Below are 17,582 nucleotides of genomic sequence, written 5' to 3'. Positions count from 1 at the left end.
CAACCTCTGCCTCCCGGGTTCAAGCAATTCTTGTGCCTCAGCCTTCCAAGTAGCTGGAATTACAAATGCATGCCACCATGGCTGGCTAATTATTTTTGTATTTTTAGTAGAGACGGGGTTTCACCATATTGGACAGGCTGGTCTTGTACTCCGGACCTCTGGTGATCTGCCTGTCTTGGCCTCCCAAAGTGCTGGGATTACAGGCTTGAGCCACTGTGCTCAGCCTACACTTTCTAACAACCAGATCTTGTGAGAACTCTGTCACGAGACAGCACTAGGGGGATTATCAGGGGAACCTGCCCCCAATATTTCAACGTAGGTTCTTTCTATTTTTCCATAAGTGTCAGCTGGCTAAGAAATAAAGAGAAAGAGTATAAACAGAAGAATTTTACAGCTGGGTCGCCAGGGGTGACATCACATATCGGTAGGACCGTGATGCCCACCTGAGCCTCAAACCAGCAAGTTTTTTATTAAGGGTTTCAGAAGGGGAGGGGGTGTAAGAACAGAGTAGGTACAAAGATCACATGCTTCAAAGGGCAAAAAGCAGAACAAAGATCACATGCTTCTGAGGGAACAGGCCAAAGGGCAAAAGCAGAACTACTGCTACTGATAAGGGTCCAACAAAGATCACAAGGCAAAGGGCAAAAGCAGAACTACTGATAAGGGTCTCTGTTCAGTGGTGCATGTATTGTCTTGATAAACATCTTAAACAATAGAAAACAGGGTTCAAGAGCAGAGAACCGGTTTGACCACAAATTTACCAGGGCGGAGTTTTTTCCCCATCCTAGTAAGCTGAGGGTACTGCAGGAGACCAGGGCGTATCTCAGTCCTTATCTCAACCGCATAAGACAGACACTCACAGAGTGGCCGTTTATAGATCTCCCCCCAGGAATGCATTCCTTTCCCACAGTATTAATATTAATATTCCTTGCTAGGAAAAGAATTTAGCAATATCTCTCCTACTTGCACGTCCATTTATAGGCTCTCTACAAGAAGAAAAATATGGCTCTTTTTGCCCAACCCCGCAGGCAGTCAGACCTTATGGTTGTCTTCCCTTGTTCCCTAAAAATTGCTGTTATTCTGTTCTTTTTCAAGGTGCACTGATTTCATATTGTTCAAATACACATGTTTTACAATCAATTTATACAGTTAACACAATTATCACAGTGGTCCTGAGGTGACGTACATCCTCAGCTTATGAAGATAACAGGATTAAGAGATTAAAGTAAAGACAGTCATAAGAAATTATAAAAGTATTATTTAGGAACTGATAAATATCCATGAAATCTTCACAATTCATCTTCCTCTGCTGCAGCTCCAGCTGGTCCCTCCATTCGGGGTCCCTGACTTCCCGCAACAGGGGATGGTGCTAAATGATTAGAACCCCTGCAACACCCGTAATCCAATCCCCTCCCACCAGGCCCCACCTCCAACAAGTTCCTTCACAAAATGGATTATTCCAGGGCTGGGGTGGGAAAAGATGACCCTGGAACATCTTTTGTGCCAAAACATAAGGAAGTGTATAAAGAATGACAGGGACATGTCAAAAGGACACAGAAGCCAGATTGAAGGGGCTACTGCTAGCCAAATCTGGGATAACTTGAGCATCAAAATGAACAATGTTGGTGATGGATTATTACTTACTGGATAAAGCAGGAAACCGTGAGCCCATAATGAAATAAGTGGATTTAAACAAATACAACATTTCATATGGGATGAGAATTTTTACATAATTTCAAAGTACTTTTCCAAAAAGTACTAATAACAAGAAATGTGATGGTATAAAGGAGAATTCTGGTAGGTAGCATTTTAAGCAAGTGACCTAAGTGAACATCATCAGTAATGGGACAACTCAAAATTATGGTCATTCTGTGTTATTCCTGTCCAAAGATGCATAACCTGAATCTAACCAAGAGGAAACATAAGAAACCCAAATTGAGGGACATCTGCAAAATAACTGGCCTGGATTCTTCAAAAGTATCAAGGCTATGTGAAAGTCAAAGGAAGACTGAGAAACGGTTCCAGACTGAAGGAGACATAAAAACTAATGTAACACGTGATTCTGAACTGGATTCTTTTGCAAAATGGGTGTTATTGGGATGCCTGGCCAAACTTGAAGGTGTCTGAGCATTCGATGGTAGTAATATAAAAACGTTAATTTTCCCATTTTCTCTGCTTTTGACGGTTATGTTGAGGTTATGTAGAATGTCCTTGTTTGTGGGAATTACACACTTACGTACTTGGGGATGACAGGTATCCTGTCAACCACTTGGGGGGATGATAGATATCCTGTCAACAACCAGTACTTTTAACTGGTTCGAGAAAAGATTTTGTACTGTGCTTCCAACTTTTCTATAAGCTTCAGGTTGTTTCAAAAAACAACAAAAACGAAAAGTATCTGACCCTAAGGGGCCTATTTAGTGTAATAATTAAATAGTAAGAATGTTGTATTATAAATGTCTGGTGGTGGTGTTCATTGTGGGGCATGCGTGTGTTTGCTGCTATTTTGTGTGTGCACCTGACACCTACCCATCACGCGGGCCTGGCACTCATGGCCCATCTGGAGCCAAACCTTCTGCTCCTTGGTTTGTCTCTTTAGACTTTGGGTCCCATCTGGGGCCCAGTTCAATACAGTGTGGGTAAATCCCCACAGTTGATGTGGCCAGTATATTTGTAAAACCTTTAATATCTTTGAACTACATCTAATTTTTAACTTTCTATTGCTTCTGGTGTTCCCAATTTCAGGGATGTAGGAGATACTGAATTTAAAAGATAATAAAATATTTTAGCACTTAAGTGAAGACTAAAGACGGCCAAGGATTTTTCTTTTCTAAACTCTTCTATATAGTTACTTGTATAACATGTTAAAGAAAAGGTGACATTTGCATGAAATAGTTTTCCCTTGAATCATTAATCAAGCTAATATAAACTATAAGCACTATCTGTTGCTTACATTCTCACCATCAGCTATCCTGCCTTTTAAGCTTTCTTGAAATTATTTCCAGCTATTAATCTGTACTTGTAAATAACACAACTCAGACAAACTGGACCACAAGGATCCAGTCCTACATAGCTGCCTGGCAGGAGCGGAAAGAGGCTGTAGAGCAGGTGGGGTGAAGGGAGCGGGAGGGAAGGCAGGCGCCCTTCCTGTCACTCAGTTCTGGTCTTTCCTGTCCTTCCCTCTTCCTCTATTCTCCAAGATTAGTTGAGTGTCAATTACGTGTCAGGCAGGGTAATGGCACTGGGGAGCCAATGACGAATGAGATACACTCCGGGCCTTTTAAGGAGCACTGAATTTGTAGAAAGAGAGACTGCTGAGCTAGGAATTCAAGAATATTCTAATAGTTTCTACAAAAGAAGTCAGGCCGGGCACGATGGTTCACGCCTGTAATCCCAGCACTTTGGGAGGCCGAGGTGGGTGGATCACCTAAGGTCAGGAGTTTGAGACTAGCCTGGGTAACATGGTGAAACCCTGTCTCTACTAAAAATACAAAAATTAGCCAGGCTTGGCAGGCACCTGTAATCCCAGCTACTTGGGAGGCTGAGGCAGGTAAATTGCTTGGACCTGGGAGGCAGAGGTTGCAGTGAGCTGAGATCACGCCATTGCACTCCAACCTAGGAGACAGAGAATCTGTCTCAAAAAAAAAAAAAAAAAAAAAAAGTCAAATAGTGCTATTAAAGGAGAAAAATTGCTTCATGACAGGAACAAAAAGTCTTCAGGGAAAAGGTGATGTTTAAAGCCCCAACTTAGTTGCAGTTTTCCAGGAAATAAGGAGGAGAGGGAATCACAAGCAGAGGAAATTGAAGCAAAAGGCTGTGAGTCTTTTGCTCAGAGTGCAGCTTCTTTGGAGCTCATCGAGGGGAAGGTGAAGGCGAAAGGAAGGACTGTGTGTGTCTGAAAGTAGAGACGGGCTGAGGAGAGTGGGCCAGAAGGATCAACTGAGGTTGGACCTTTTTTTTTTCCCCCTGCTCTGTCACCCAGGCTGGAGTGCAGTGATGTGATCTCAGCTCACTGCAACCTCCGCCTCCCAGGTTCAAGTGATTCTCCTGCCTTGGCCTCCCGAGTAGCTGGGATTACAGGCGTGCACCACCACACCCAGCTAGTTGTTTGTATTATAACTATTATTTTTTTGAGATGGAGTCTTTCTTTGTCACCCAGGCTGGAGTGCAGTGGTGTGATCTTGGCTCACTGCAACCTCTACCTCCTGGGTTCAAGTGATTCTCCTGCCTCGGCCTCCTGAGTAGCTGGGACTACAGGCGTGTGCCATTACACCTGGCTAATTTTTTGTATTTTTAGTAGAGACTGGGTTTTGCCATGTTGGCCAGGATGGTCTTGATCCCCTGACCTCGTGTTCTGCCTGCCTGAGCTTCCCAAAGTGCTGGGATTACAGGCATGAGCCACCATGCCCAGCAGGACCATTTTTAAAAAGAAAGCAGACAGGCTGGGTGGTGACTCATGCCTGTAATCCCAGCACTTTGGGAGGCTGAGGTGGGAGGATGGCCTGAGGTCAGGAGTTCAAGACCAGCTTGGTCGACATGGTGAAACCCTATCTCTACTAAAAATACAAAAATTTACTGGAGGTGGTGGTGTACACCTGTAATCCCAGCTACTTGGGAGGATGAGGCAGGAGAATTGATTGAACCTGGGAGGTGGTGGTTGCAGTGAGCAGAGATCGTGTCATTGCACTCCAGCCTGGGTGACAGAGCGAGACTCCATCTCTACAAACATACATACATACATACATACATACATACATACATATGTACATACATAAAGCAAAAGCAGACAAAAACCAAACAGCAACAACAAACTTCCCTGCATGCTATGCTGAGGAGCTCAGACTTTATTCTAGGATGATGGGATGTCAGGGGAGGGTCTGCTGGAGACAGCCATGGTCACTTCCCTCCCACCACAGGGATTCTGTGATTCTCAGGAGCAGGAAGGAACTGCCTGACCTCTGTATGCTGGGAGAATGGCTCACACTCTTGCTTCACTGAGATCTCTGCTCAAACATTACCTCGTCCTCTCTTGTCTAACCTCACGAAAATAGCATGCCCAAGATTTTCTACTCATCTGCCTTAATTTTTTTTCCTAGTACTTCCCAAATATTTCAGTTATCTGTTTATTTTTTGTCTCCCCCACAGGTATATAAGCTCTGTGACAACAGGGGCTTTATCTTATTACTGCTGGTCCTCACGGTGCCTTGTACTGTGCCAGCCATGTAGAAAGAGCCTGTAGATTCTTGAGTGAGTGAAGGGCGATGCAAATCTCCCACAAATCATGGTCCAAAGACCTTGGGAACCCACAGACTCAGATTCTAGAAAGAGAACTTTGCAGTCCCCAAGGGGCTCTTGCAGCCCAGGTGGAAGGATGGTGAATAAGAAGTCCCAAGAGGCTCTCTAAGAAACAACAGCTTTCCAAATGAGTTGGCAAATCCCTACCCTTACAATCCTGTTTCTGTCTGTTCCCCAGAGTCAGCCTTTTATAATGGAAAAGCAGGGCTGAGATAATGTTCTAATTTAGGGTTGTTAGAACTTAGCCAAGGATCTCACCAGGGAAAGAGGAAGAAGCTTAGATCTTTCCTCTAAAATGCAGTCCAAAGCCAGAGCTTGGAATAGAAAAGCTGGTGTTTTCCTGAATGTCCATGAGACCTCAAAATGGATAGGCCATGTCCTTCAGGAGATCACATGGGTCTCATGAAGCCTCAGTGTTAGCATATCACCTTCAACTTCACAGCATCTTCCATGCTTGGCTCTGAAAGGACAGTAGTGCATTCGTCAACAAGCTTCATAGATAGGTGTCCATCTTGGGGGTGGTTCTTTGGATCTCTAGCAGTCCAGTGATGTAGAGTGGAGAGAGTTCAGAAACTTCCCAGGATGGGTCAGGTCTTCAGCTTTCCTAAGCCACATGGCTAGAATCACCTTAAATTACTAGAAAAACAGACAAATCTCAACTATCTGAAAACTGGTGGCCTTGTTTCTAGCTCTTTTCCATTTCAGAACCAATTTGTTCCTATTCCAGGCAACCAAAACCTCATGTCCTGGATATGCAAGGAAAACAGAGTCGCGCTTCTTTTGCCTGGCATATGAGTGCTTTCGAGGACACTGATCAGAGAAATTCCAAATGGGCTATTCTTGTTAGGCAGTGTAAGTCATCATTGCCAAGAGCTTCCAAACCACCTAAGCTGCCGAAGCTACCAAAAAAGGAAAAGGTATGATGTTTTGCTTTTCTAAATCGTCATAGAAAAAGTCAGGCTGCTTTAACATATAAATCAGGGACAGGTTTCTCATAGTAATACTAATAATCAGTTTTGTAGCTTCTTTTAACCTATCGAAGCATTTTGTAATTTATACTGGATTGCCACAGTGATGTTTATTCAGTGGGTAAGTGGGCATTATTCACCTTTTATAGTTAAAGAAAACAAGAGGTTGTGTCCTCAGAATTTCTTATCACTAGGTTTAACCTTGAGAGAATGGCGACCCCTGTGAGTTCCAAGAGCTGAGAAAGCACCGTTTGTGAAATGGAGGTAAATCTGTAACTCCACTCAAAACCTCACAAACTGGTTAGCAGAGTAAGCTTATACCCGTTTGAATTCTAGGTTGTCCCCTAAACTATTTATGGAATCTTGGGCAAGTTGCATAATTTCCCTGTATGGGTTTTTATAAGTAAAATGGGGATTTTGGTATCTGTTTTGAATATTTTATAGAGTTAGGAGGAGAATTAAAGAATGTGGAAGTATATATTCAACAACTATTTCCTGAGGTCTGTGTACAAACCATACGCCAATAATAGCTTTCTGTCTAATCCCACAGCACAATGAACTTTGCAGGCGTCCAGTTTTTCAATAGAGTTTGACAGCAGATTTCCATGCTAGAAAAAGGAATAGAATAGCTCAGGCCCATTCAGAGACTCCTGTTCCCTACGCATAAAAAGACTTCTTGCTCTTTTGGAGAATCTTGCCAATTCACTAGAATATTACTCACCCTCTGTTGCCAGAGATCTGATTCATCAGCAAGCCATTATGTCTATTTGAGACATTTTGTGATGGCAGGAGACTTAGCTGTCCTCCTCAGTAGATCCTGACCTTAGGAATACTTCGTATTGAAAAAGGGAACAGTTCGACATCTAACATTTCAATGTAGTCTGAATTTTGAGATGGGTCCAAGTGAAATGATTTATTGCAGTGTGTGTGGAGGAGGGCTTGGATTAGTTACTTTCTGTCACTGAACTAATTTTGTGTCAGATTAGAGCTATTACAGACTAAATTATCCCAAACGCCTCTATCATTCGCCAAATCCAGTTGAAATATTTTTTGCATTAAAAAATCTGTTAAAAGACTTCTTATTTTGATTTCAAATTTGTAGAGCATGTTGTAACAACAGCTCTAAGAACGTGATATACTCTTTCCCCAGCCCCATCTGTTGTTAATTTTATTTGCTTTTATGTTCGCTTTCTTCCTCTCTCTCTTACACCATTTGAGTGCAAGTTGCAGACATGATGCCCCCCAACTTCTCTTGTCTTTTTTTTTTTTTTTAAGATATGGGGGTCTCACTATGTTGCCCAGGCTGGAGTGCATTGGCTATTCATGGGCACAACCATAGTGCACCGCAGCCTTGAACTCCTGGGTTCAAACAATCCTCCCACCTCAGCCTCCTGAGTAGCTAGGACTACAGGCACAGACCCTGTGGAATAAATGGTCTACAGGCTAGACCCTTTACTCCTAAATATTTCAGGGTGTATTTCCTAAGAACAAGGATGCTGTCTCACATAAACACAGTACAATTTATAAGATTCAGGAAATTTAACATTGATAGAGTATTATTATCTAATCTAAAGTTCATAGTCGAATTTTACTAAATAGCAGATGGTGGTGTTTCACACCTATAAACCCAGCACTTTGGGAGGCTGAGGTGGGAGAATCACTTGAGCCCAAGTTTGAGAGCAGCCTGGGCAACATAGTGAGACCCCATCTTTACAAAAAATATAAAAAATTAGGCAGGGGTGGTGGTGCATGCCTGTAATCCCAGCTACTCAGGAGGCTGAGGTGGGAGGCTTGCTCGATCACAGGTCTGCAAGTCTGCAGTGAGCTATGATTGCATCACTGCACTCCAGCCTGCGTGACAGAGAGCCTGACTGTCTTAAAAAATAACAACAACAACAACAACAGCAACAACAAAAAGTATTAACTGACGACCTTTGTAATATTCTGATCCAGGATTCAGTCTAGGACCATGTATTACATTGAGTTATCACGTCTCTTTAGTCCTCTTCAATGTGGAGGAGTTCCTCACTCTGGTCTTTTATAACATGGACACTTTTGAGGAATCCAGGCCAGTTCTGAATCTTTCAGTATGGGCTTGTCTGATGTTTCCTCACGAGTGGGTTCAGGTTACGTGTTTTTGTCAGGAATCCCAGATAAGTGACGTTGCCTCATGCTCAGTGCATCACATCAAGAGGCACCTGAGGTCGGTTTAACCCATTATTCCTGAGAGTAGTTGAGCACTTGGTCATACCCCTTCCATTCCAGAAATAAACAAAATACTGAATCATTCAAAATAATTTATCTTTTTATCAATGAGGCTTTCTTCTAAATTTCCAGAGTTACTTTAGATACTTGTCCCACAAATCCATTTTTTGGACTGTCCTGCAGAATTTGTGTGGATGCTTCAATAAATACTCAACACCCCTCTCTTTTACATGAATCCTCTTTAGGGAAAATAAATTGGAACAAATGTTCTTACATATTTGAAAGCAAATAATGAATACCACATGTGAAAAGCCTCCAACGCAGTGCCTCACACATAGCCCCCAGTGAGTGGCTATCATTACTATTCTTACTTGAGATGCCAACACATTTTCCATTCTTACACGACAAGAATCAGAACCAGGCACTGAAAGTCTCTTAAGTAGAAATTTGTCTGTGTTACTGGGTGACTTGGGGGAAATTTTAAAAGCTTAAACCTATAGACAGTATCATAAACTTTCCCATCAAAATAGATGGTTGAAAATGGGAATATTTTATATCCATGCTTTGAGTTTGGTTTTCCATGTATAAACTTAAGGTTAGAGAGCTTAATTACAATGTTTCTAAAAAGTACAATTTATGAGATTTAACAGTATGTATCATTCTTATATACATTTACCCAAAAATGCTCTTAAAAATACTTTTGGAAATCCATTGAGCAAGTCTCTAAACCACTTCTTCTATAATGCCCTAATCTCTCTTTTTAAATCACAAAATGTCTCTTAAGTTCTATCTTCTATTCCATTCATTATTTTCCCCTTCTGGATTTCTGGTTGTTTTTTTCCTTCATACAATAATACATTCATTATTTATTATTATACATTTCCTTCATACAATAATACATTCATTATTTTCCCCTTCTGGATTTCTGGTAGTTTTTTTCCTTCATACAATGCATATATCATATGCATTGTATAATTTATGTGCATATGATAGACACTTTTAACATAATTTATTTCTATTTCATTTCTTTGCTGGCAAATGTTCTCATTGTCCCCCTTCATTCCAATACACAGACTTCAGTCTCAGTGACTGATACATTCTTTTCCTCATCCACTCGAGTTTGAGAGCAGTATTCTCAAATTTTAAAGGTCATGCAAATCACTTGGGGATCCTGTTAAGATGCAGATTATGATTCAGTAGGTCTGAAATGGGGTTTGAGATTTTGCATTTCTGTCAAGCTCCCAGGAAATGCAGTTAGTTGTTGCTGGTCTGAGGACCTTGAGTAGCAAGGTGCTGGAGGATTTGACAATGAATTGAATTTTGTGCTAGGAACGGGGGACTTGATGAGGCAAAGGGAAGTCTATTCTAGGAAGAACAGACAGGGCAAAGACAATAACCTAGCACCTTTGGGGAAGTACATGTGGTTCAATGTGGCTGGAATATAGAACACAGAATTATCTGGTGATGAGGCTGGAGAAGATGAATCAGCTGGGTCACTGGAGTGCACAGGGCTGGGCTTTTATTTATTTTATTTATTTATTTATTTATTTATTTATTTATTTATTTGAGACGGAGTCTCGCTCTGTTGCCCAGGCTGTAGCGTAGTGGCACAATCTTGGCTCACTGCAGCCTCCGCCTCCTGGGTTCAAGTGATTCTCCTGCCTCAGCCTCCTGAGTAGCTGGGATTACAGGCACTGGAATGAGCCACCGCGCTGGGCCTTTCCACCACTTTTAACGAAATGTTACCTCCTTCCTTCTCAGAGGGTTGTTTTCCAATTCTTTGCAACACATATTCAGAGACTACGTGACATCTATGTCAGCCTTTATGGGATAACTCTTAAGTTGGTACTGTTTATGATGTTAAAGATATTTGCTTGAAAGCCTACTTCCTGTAACTTGGAATGACAATTTTCTGATCCTACTCAACTCCATTTTGGGTTATCATACCATATCATTGGACTGATCTCCTAAGTATCTGTATCAGTCAGGGTTCTCCAGAGAAACAGAACCAATGATGTGTGTGTTGTGCATGTAGGAGAGCAAGAGCCAGGGAGGGGTGTTTATTTTTAGGAGTTGGCTCCTGTGATTGTGGAAGTTGGTAAATCCAAACGCAGCAGGGTGAGCCAACAGGATGGAGACCCTGGGAGAAACTGATGTTGCAGCTCCAGCCTGAAGGCAGTTTTCAGGCAGAATTCTCTCTCCCTGGGGGATCTTCAGTCTTTCTCTTAAGACTTTCAACAGGTTGAATGAGGCCCACCCACATTATGGAGGATAAATAGCTTTATTCAGGGTCCACTGACTTAAATATTAATCTCACCTAAGAAATACCTGCACAGCACTGGGCTGGGAGTGGTGGCTCATGCCTGTAATCCCCGCACTTTGGGAGGCTGAGGCGGGCAGATCATCTGAGGTCGGGAGTTCAAGACCAGCCTGACCAACATGGGGAAACCCCGTCTCTACTAAAAATACAGAATTAGCTGGCGTGGTGGTGCATGCCTGTAATCCCAACTACTCAGGAAGGCTGAGGCAGGAGAATCGCCTGAACCCGGGAGGCAGAGGTTGCAGTGAGCCAAGAACGTGCCATTGCACTCCAGCCTGGGCAACAAGAGCAAAACTCCATCTCAAAAAAAAAGGAAAAAAAAAATACCTGCACAGCATCATCCAGATTAGTGTTTGACTAAATATCTGATTACTATCGCCTAGCCAAGATGACACATAACATTAACCATCACAGGCCAGACCTGGTGGCTCATGCCTGTAATCCCAACGGTTTGGGAAGCTGAGGCAGGAGGGTCATGTAAGGCCCAGAGTTCAAGACCAGCCTGGGCAACAGAGTGAGACCCTGTCTCTACAAATTTTTTTTTGTTTTTTTTTGAGATGGAGTCTCACTGTTGCTCAGGCTGGAGTGCAGTGGCACAATCTCAGCTCACTGCAACCTCTGCCTCCCAGGTTCAAACAATTTTCCTGCCTCAGCCTCCTGAGTAGCTGGGACTACAGGCGCGTGCCACCACGGCCGGCTAATGTTTTGTATTTTTAGTAGAGGCAGGGTTTCACCGTGTTAGCCAGGATGGTCTCGATCTCCTGACCTCGTGATCTGCCCGCCTCAGCCTCCCAAAGTGTTGGGATTACAGGCGTGAGCCATTGCGTCCAGCCCCAAATTTTTTTTAAAAAAATTAGCTGGGTGTGTTGGTGCATGCCTGTAGTCCCTGGTACTTGAGAGGCTGAGGCAGGAGGATACTTGAGGCCAGAAGTTTGAGGTTACTGCGAGCTATGATCATGCCACTGTACTCCATCCTGGTGACAAAGTGAGACCCTGTCTCTTAAAAAAAAAAAAAAAAACCATCACAGTACCCCTCATCCATTGTGAGGATTAAATGAGGTAACATACAGAAAGCGTCTGACAGAACGGTCCAGGCACTAGGGAACCAAAAAGCACTCTTGTGTGCACGTGCGTTTAACTCCTTTTATCAATGGCATGATTTTAAAGCTGTTTCACCCGAGTACACAGCAGGGAAGCCATCCTTGGAGAGCTGAACATGCACGAAAAGGAAAAAAAAAAAGCTTCAGGGAAAAACACTTGAAATTTTCATTTATCAGAAAGGATTTTGAAATATCTACTGTAACTTTCCCCCCAGTCTTTAAGATAACATAACTCAGTATGGCATTATGTTGGTACCAACAGTTGCTCTCAGTGGCATATTTTTTCCTGAGAACAAATATATCTGTGGACATCATCCCTTTTCAGAGCAAATATTTTGTAATGCCCCCTTTATTAACCTAAAATAAAATTTACAAATATACTCAATTTATATCATACCAATATAATGCCCTATTATACTGTAATTTAAAAGAAATTTAAAAGTAATTTATAATACTACTTTAATACATAAATATTGGGGCAGTAGATTAGAAAATATAATGAAGTTGGCCAGGCACAGTGGCTCACGCCTGTAATCCCAGCACTTTGGGAGGCTGAGGTGGGCAGATCTCCTGAGGTCAGGAGTTCAAGACTAGCCTGGCTAACATGGTGAAACCTCGTTTCTACTAAAAATACAAAAAATTGGCCAGTTGTGGTGGCGCATGCCTGTAACCCCAGCTACTTGGGAGGCTGAGGCAGGAGAATCACTTGAACCCAGGAGGCGGAGGTTGCAGTGAGCCGAGATTGCACCATTGCACTCCAGCTTGGGCAATAAGAGCAAAACCCCATCTCAAAAAATATAATGAAGTAGGCATCTATATACAGAGTCTTCATGAATGCAGGGGCTACAAATGAAGACTGACAGAGATGTCCTGTATTGGTGACTCAAATTCCATGGGTACCATAGCTACCAAACTATGTTACCATTGGAAACGCAGTTTTCCAAAAGTATATCAATTCTTGGTAAAGACCAAGTGACCACTTCTTGCTAAAATTCTAAATCTTACAAAGTAAAAATCTTCCCTCAATTTATACAACAATTGCATTCCTGGAGAATGCATTATATACAAAAATCATGTAAAAATACATTGTGTTTTTTATGTATAGCAGAATTATCTGCTTAATTATAAACAGGCTTTTTTAGCCATATAAATGTCCAGCAGGACATTTAAGGGTTACGCAGGAGGTGGGTGGGACAAGTCCTCATCCCATGGGGCTGTCTCACATGGTGCAGGACCTCTCGCCTATCATCTGAGCCCCCAGCCTCTCTGTGCCAGTAACCCTAACCTGGCATTATGCTAACCAAAAATGTCCCTGCATTTCCAAAACACCCCGGTTAAAAACCACTGAGATAAATAATCAGCTTGTTTTCAGCACGAATTATTAGAAATGAGACCTCTACATTTTATTAAATATAACAAATCGCATGCAGCACCAGGAAAATGTTCAAGATAAATTCAAAAGTTTTATTGCACCAAATGCCACAGAAAAATGGATCAAAATAATACATAAACAAGTTAAAAAAAATTCCCACACAATGACATTGGTATCTATTCAGACTGATCAAAAACGAAGTCCTATCAATTTCTCTTATGGAGCTTCAAATGACAAATTCCAGAATTTTCTCGTTTTTGAAATACCACTTAAGTTTAAGCATATTGCAATCTCACTTTCAAGATATATCGTTCATCATATTTTGACATTTAAAAATTAACATTCAGAGGGGACTTCTTGATTTAGGCAAAAATTATATTAAAATACCCTCTCCCCCAAGCACAATAAAAAACAAATGGTTCACATTTACCAAGAGAAGCTGAAGACATTTTCAATTTAACGTGGAAGTATGCATGAACAAAATATTCTCTAAAGTACATATTAGCGGAAAAATCCAGACTTTAAAAGAATTTTGGGATACTTTATATTCTTTATTATTTTTATGTACAACCAACTCTAGTGAAGAACCTAAAAAGCTACAGACTAAATTTTTATAAAATCTCAGGACCTAATTATAAGAGCCCAAACAACGGTTTAGTATCATTTAGCAAGCGGGGATTTTTCTCCCTCCAAAAACGTTAATTTTGAAAAATATGGTTAAGTTTAAAAAGTTGCAATGTGTAAACGGCAGTTCCATGGGATGTGAAAAGATTATAGTTACTTTCATTAAAAAACAGCACACTTCGAAAAATGGATTGAAGCCTGTACAAAAAGCTATTTAACACTGATTGATAAAAAATAAAATACTTTGGAATTATGCACAAGTATGGAAGCTACATTTTAAATTTTCATTGTCATGTCTAAAACGTACACAATTACCTTTACATTCATTTCACTTACCAATTTATTAAAAATAAAACTGCAACATGCTAGAAAGAGGTCCATCACAGGGACATTTACAGACTTCTGCTCTGTCATGCCTCACTAGCTTGCTTGGAAAAGCAAGATGCTACAAAAGTTACACTCAACAGGTAAGACTTAAAAGTTGAAGAAACCCTAAAGGTGGAATCCTGTCAACTGAGGTAGATTTCTTTTCTTTTTTAAAAAAAATTGTTTTATGTTTTTTCTTGAGGTGGGCATGGGAGCAAGTGGGGTCCCTTTCTTGCCTCTGCGGCTAAGCCAGAATGAAGCCACTGGGTGGTGTACGGCGTGTGAGCGGTGGATCTCAACACAATTCTGTGAGGTTTTTTTTTTCTTTTTTGCTTTTAGGAAGAGGCTGAATTTAAGACAAAGAAAACTTGAATGTTAAATATTTAAAGGATTATAAAAGAGCAGCAACATTCTTGGTCTATTTTTGTAGGCAATAGATATGAGGATTAGGTTCTGACTGGAATCCTGAGTGTCACGGAGACAGCCCCCACATGTGACCCACCTGTAGTTTTCCAACAGGCATTTTTCCAAGAGTGAGTTTTGGAACATTAAATTAAGAGCAAATTAAATTTTCTCAGGCTTTGAGGGGCCTGGGCTGAATTTTTTTAATGTATAGAGTTTAGAATCAACGATTTAAAGCTCAGTGTCCCCTATATGGGTCTAATTATGAACATGCCACTATGTCCACATTAGAATTGAACTGATTTTGTAACAAGTTATTTTCTATGAAACCCTGGAAGGTGGTGAATGAGGGAAAGTGCCCAAAACATGTAAACAAGAAAAAAGGAACTAGAGACGAGGGGAATGCTTTAAACTGTAAAAGCTGTAACATCAGCTCTGACAGTTTATTTACACGTAATGAGAAACGGATGTGGGGTGAGCTGAGCCACAGGTGAGGTTCCTTCTCTCTCTGTAACACAACAGCAAACAATGATGTCATGGAACTACAGAACTTAAAACACCAAAGTCAAATGCTAGGCAAAAGGAAATAGGAAAACATTAAAAAGAATGAACATTTCAATTTTCAATGAATGACATAAAATGATAAAGATCTTACAAAACTTAATGCACTCATCTACATTTTGCATCATTAAAAAAGGGAAAGGTAGCAGTTCTGATTTTTATCAAATGAAAAAACTGAAGTCATTCTAGTCCCTAATAGGGAAATTACTTCATAATCTTAGGTTCAAAGATACATGAAAAGAACTGGAATTAATTCATAAAACAGTGGAAGGGAATCAGAGCCTGGTTAACTGCTTGAGATCTGCAAAGTGCTAAAGATGTTTTGCTTTGCTAGCTTAGCTCCTGTCCTTTAATGACCAATATTTAAAAGTCTTTTACTTTACCCTGGATGTCAGTACATAGTCTGTTTCACGGTCAGTAAACTGAAGTTTCTTTTATATTAACAGAAAATTAGGTTGTTTTTTTTTTTTTTTTGCATGAACTTTAGGAAATCATTTTGGTCGGTTTTATACAATGTGTAAGTTAATGTCTGGAAAGATGTTTTGAAAAGGATGCAGGAATTAGAAGGCACAGAAATGATAATATAAAAATTTAGATCATATATGAATTTTTTCTAAATGTTCAAGCTAATTGCTTTCATTAGTCATCCTGAACTGCTGCAGGTTTCATTTCCCACCAGGACAGCTGTGCCTTTTAAAGTAAAAATAGTCATTTGTATTAACTATAAGGAAAAAGTGGCTTCAGCTGGAAGAACTTACCAACCGAAACACTCTTGAGCTTATAGAAATAACTTTGGTAAGTGGCCTCTCTTAAAAAGGCTGCTGAAAGCTCTAAAATATAAGGATAAAACATACGGTTTCAGACTGTACACTTTGCTGCTACAAACTACATCTTGATGGGATTAAGAGGCTACATTGATTCTTGGGTTTATTGCACCAACAATCCATCTCTGACCTACCCATGGCTGCATCTGAAACAAGGTAAACTCCAAGAAGAAATGAAAACAGTGGGTCCCTAAAGCACTCTTCCCAACAAGCAATTCTTACATGTTTTATGTCAAACAGTCACTGCTAAAGCCACTGGAGCTGAAGATGGCACAATGTGGCTTTCTTTGCTTTACCTTGTCTAAAAAGCAAACTGTGACCTGGAATCCAAAGTCTGTATTCTGATTGTTGTCTCAGAATAGCAAAATATGTTTTCTCCAGTTTGGGGAGCTCATGCTTAAACTTGGAAGCAGTTTCCTACTGGAATATTATGTACACTGCTGACCACCCCGCTCAAGTCACTTGTCTTTATTCTGCCCAAACAGCACAAGGCAATCTGTTGCAACAGCTTAGTGTTTAGTGCTTATGTTTCCTCCTACCAAAAAGGTCAGTTTCTTTGTTGATTCATGGGTAACAAATGGCCTAAAGTGTTCACGACAATCACAAATGCTATTATGTCAAGTAAACCTAAGTCTTCAATGAAGCATCAGCTTGACAGCAAAAACACAAAACAAAAAGGTGGAATGACTGTTTCTGTTTGCTCTTCTCATGCTTTTGACATCACAGAGAGCTTATTCCTTTCTCCTTCAGTTGAGAATTTGATTTTTTTCTTCCAAGGAAGAACTGTCCTGAGCTTTAGCTTATAAGAGTATTTGAGCCACATAAGGAGAATGAGTACTGGCAATAGCAGTCAACAGAGGCAGGTCGTTGGATTCAATCCTGAATATTGAGAAAAGAAAAGAATATTACTTTAAAAGAGCATGGTTTTATGAGAAAGTATTATTTCTTTTTATGAGAAAGTATTATTTCTAGGTACTAAGTTTGATAGATTATCATTTAAAACTAATGAAAAAGCAAAACAGATGGAAGGATAATAAACTTACTCTTTTAATAAAATATTCCAGTGGACACTGACCAGGGAGGCAAAGGGAGAGAAATACAGGAAGTGTGTTGTGCCTGTGTGTGGACATAAAGCTCTTTTTCCCTTGGCAGGGGTCACCAGACTTTCTAACTTTCCTGTATTCCCTATATAACTTCATTGTATCATACTTTAAGGTATTCTCCATTATAAACTCATTCTTCCAGTCAACACTTCTAAATGCATACTGATTTTTCACCTAAGTTCAAATTGGTCTTAGAAAAACGATGATGGTAGCAATTTCTTAAAAAACATTGGGAATTTGTTCAAAGTTTATACTGGGATCCTCACTGAGCATTTAAGCCACAAGATTCTGAGAGCAAAGTGACACTAAAAGGTACTGGGTTAAGAGACATCATGGTTTCAAATGGACACAGCTTTGGCTGCCTCTCTTACAGCAGAGGTGGATACAGTATGGGCACTGGCTAAAAATGATGCCAGGTGTCATGAAAAAAAAAAATTGAACT

General features: G+C 40.6%; 2 protein-coding genes and 1 pseudogene across 12 annotated transcripts in view; 2 read left to right on the top strand and 1 right to left on the bottom strand.

The window, feature by feature from the left end:
- Nucleotides 1-17,582, top strand: part of SPMIP2 (sperm microtubule inner protein 2) — a 189,752-nt gene that overhangs the window by 161,504 nt on the left and 10,666 nt on the right. For all 5 annotated transcript variants that reach the window (XM_011531671.3, XM_011531672.4, XM_047449676.1 and 2 more), the window contains one exon: nt 6,023-6,212. In XM_011531671.3, coding sequence (XP_011529973.1) covers nt 6,023-6,212 — 190 coding nt within the window. The remainder of the gene's footprint in view (nt 1-6,022; nt 6,213-17,582) is intronic.
- Nucleotides 11,940-12,009, top strand: LOC124900178 (uncharacterized; annotated as a pseudogene).
- FNIP2 (folliculin interacting protein 2) overlaps nt 13,332-17,582 on the bottom strand; it is a 139,025-nt gene continuing 134,774 nt past the window's right edge. For all 7 annotated transcript variants that reach the window (XM_005263158.3, NM_020840.3, NM_001346043.2 and 4 more), the window contains one exon: nt 13,332-16,916. In XM_005263158.3, the coding sequence (XP_005263215.1) occupies nt 16,838-16,916 (79 nt within the window). In that variant the 3' untranslated portion in view covers nt 13,332-16,837. The remainder of the gene's footprint in view (nt 16,917-17,582) is intronic.

Source organism: Homo sapiens, chromosome 4 (assembly GCF_000001405.40).
Source record: "Homo sapiens chromosome 4, GRCh38.p14 Primary Assembly".
NCBI classification, from domain to species: Eukaryota; Metazoa; Chordata; class Mammalia; order Primates; family Hominidae; genus Homo; species Homo sapiens.
This window is presented reverse-complemented; position numbering and strand designations above follow the sequence as displayed.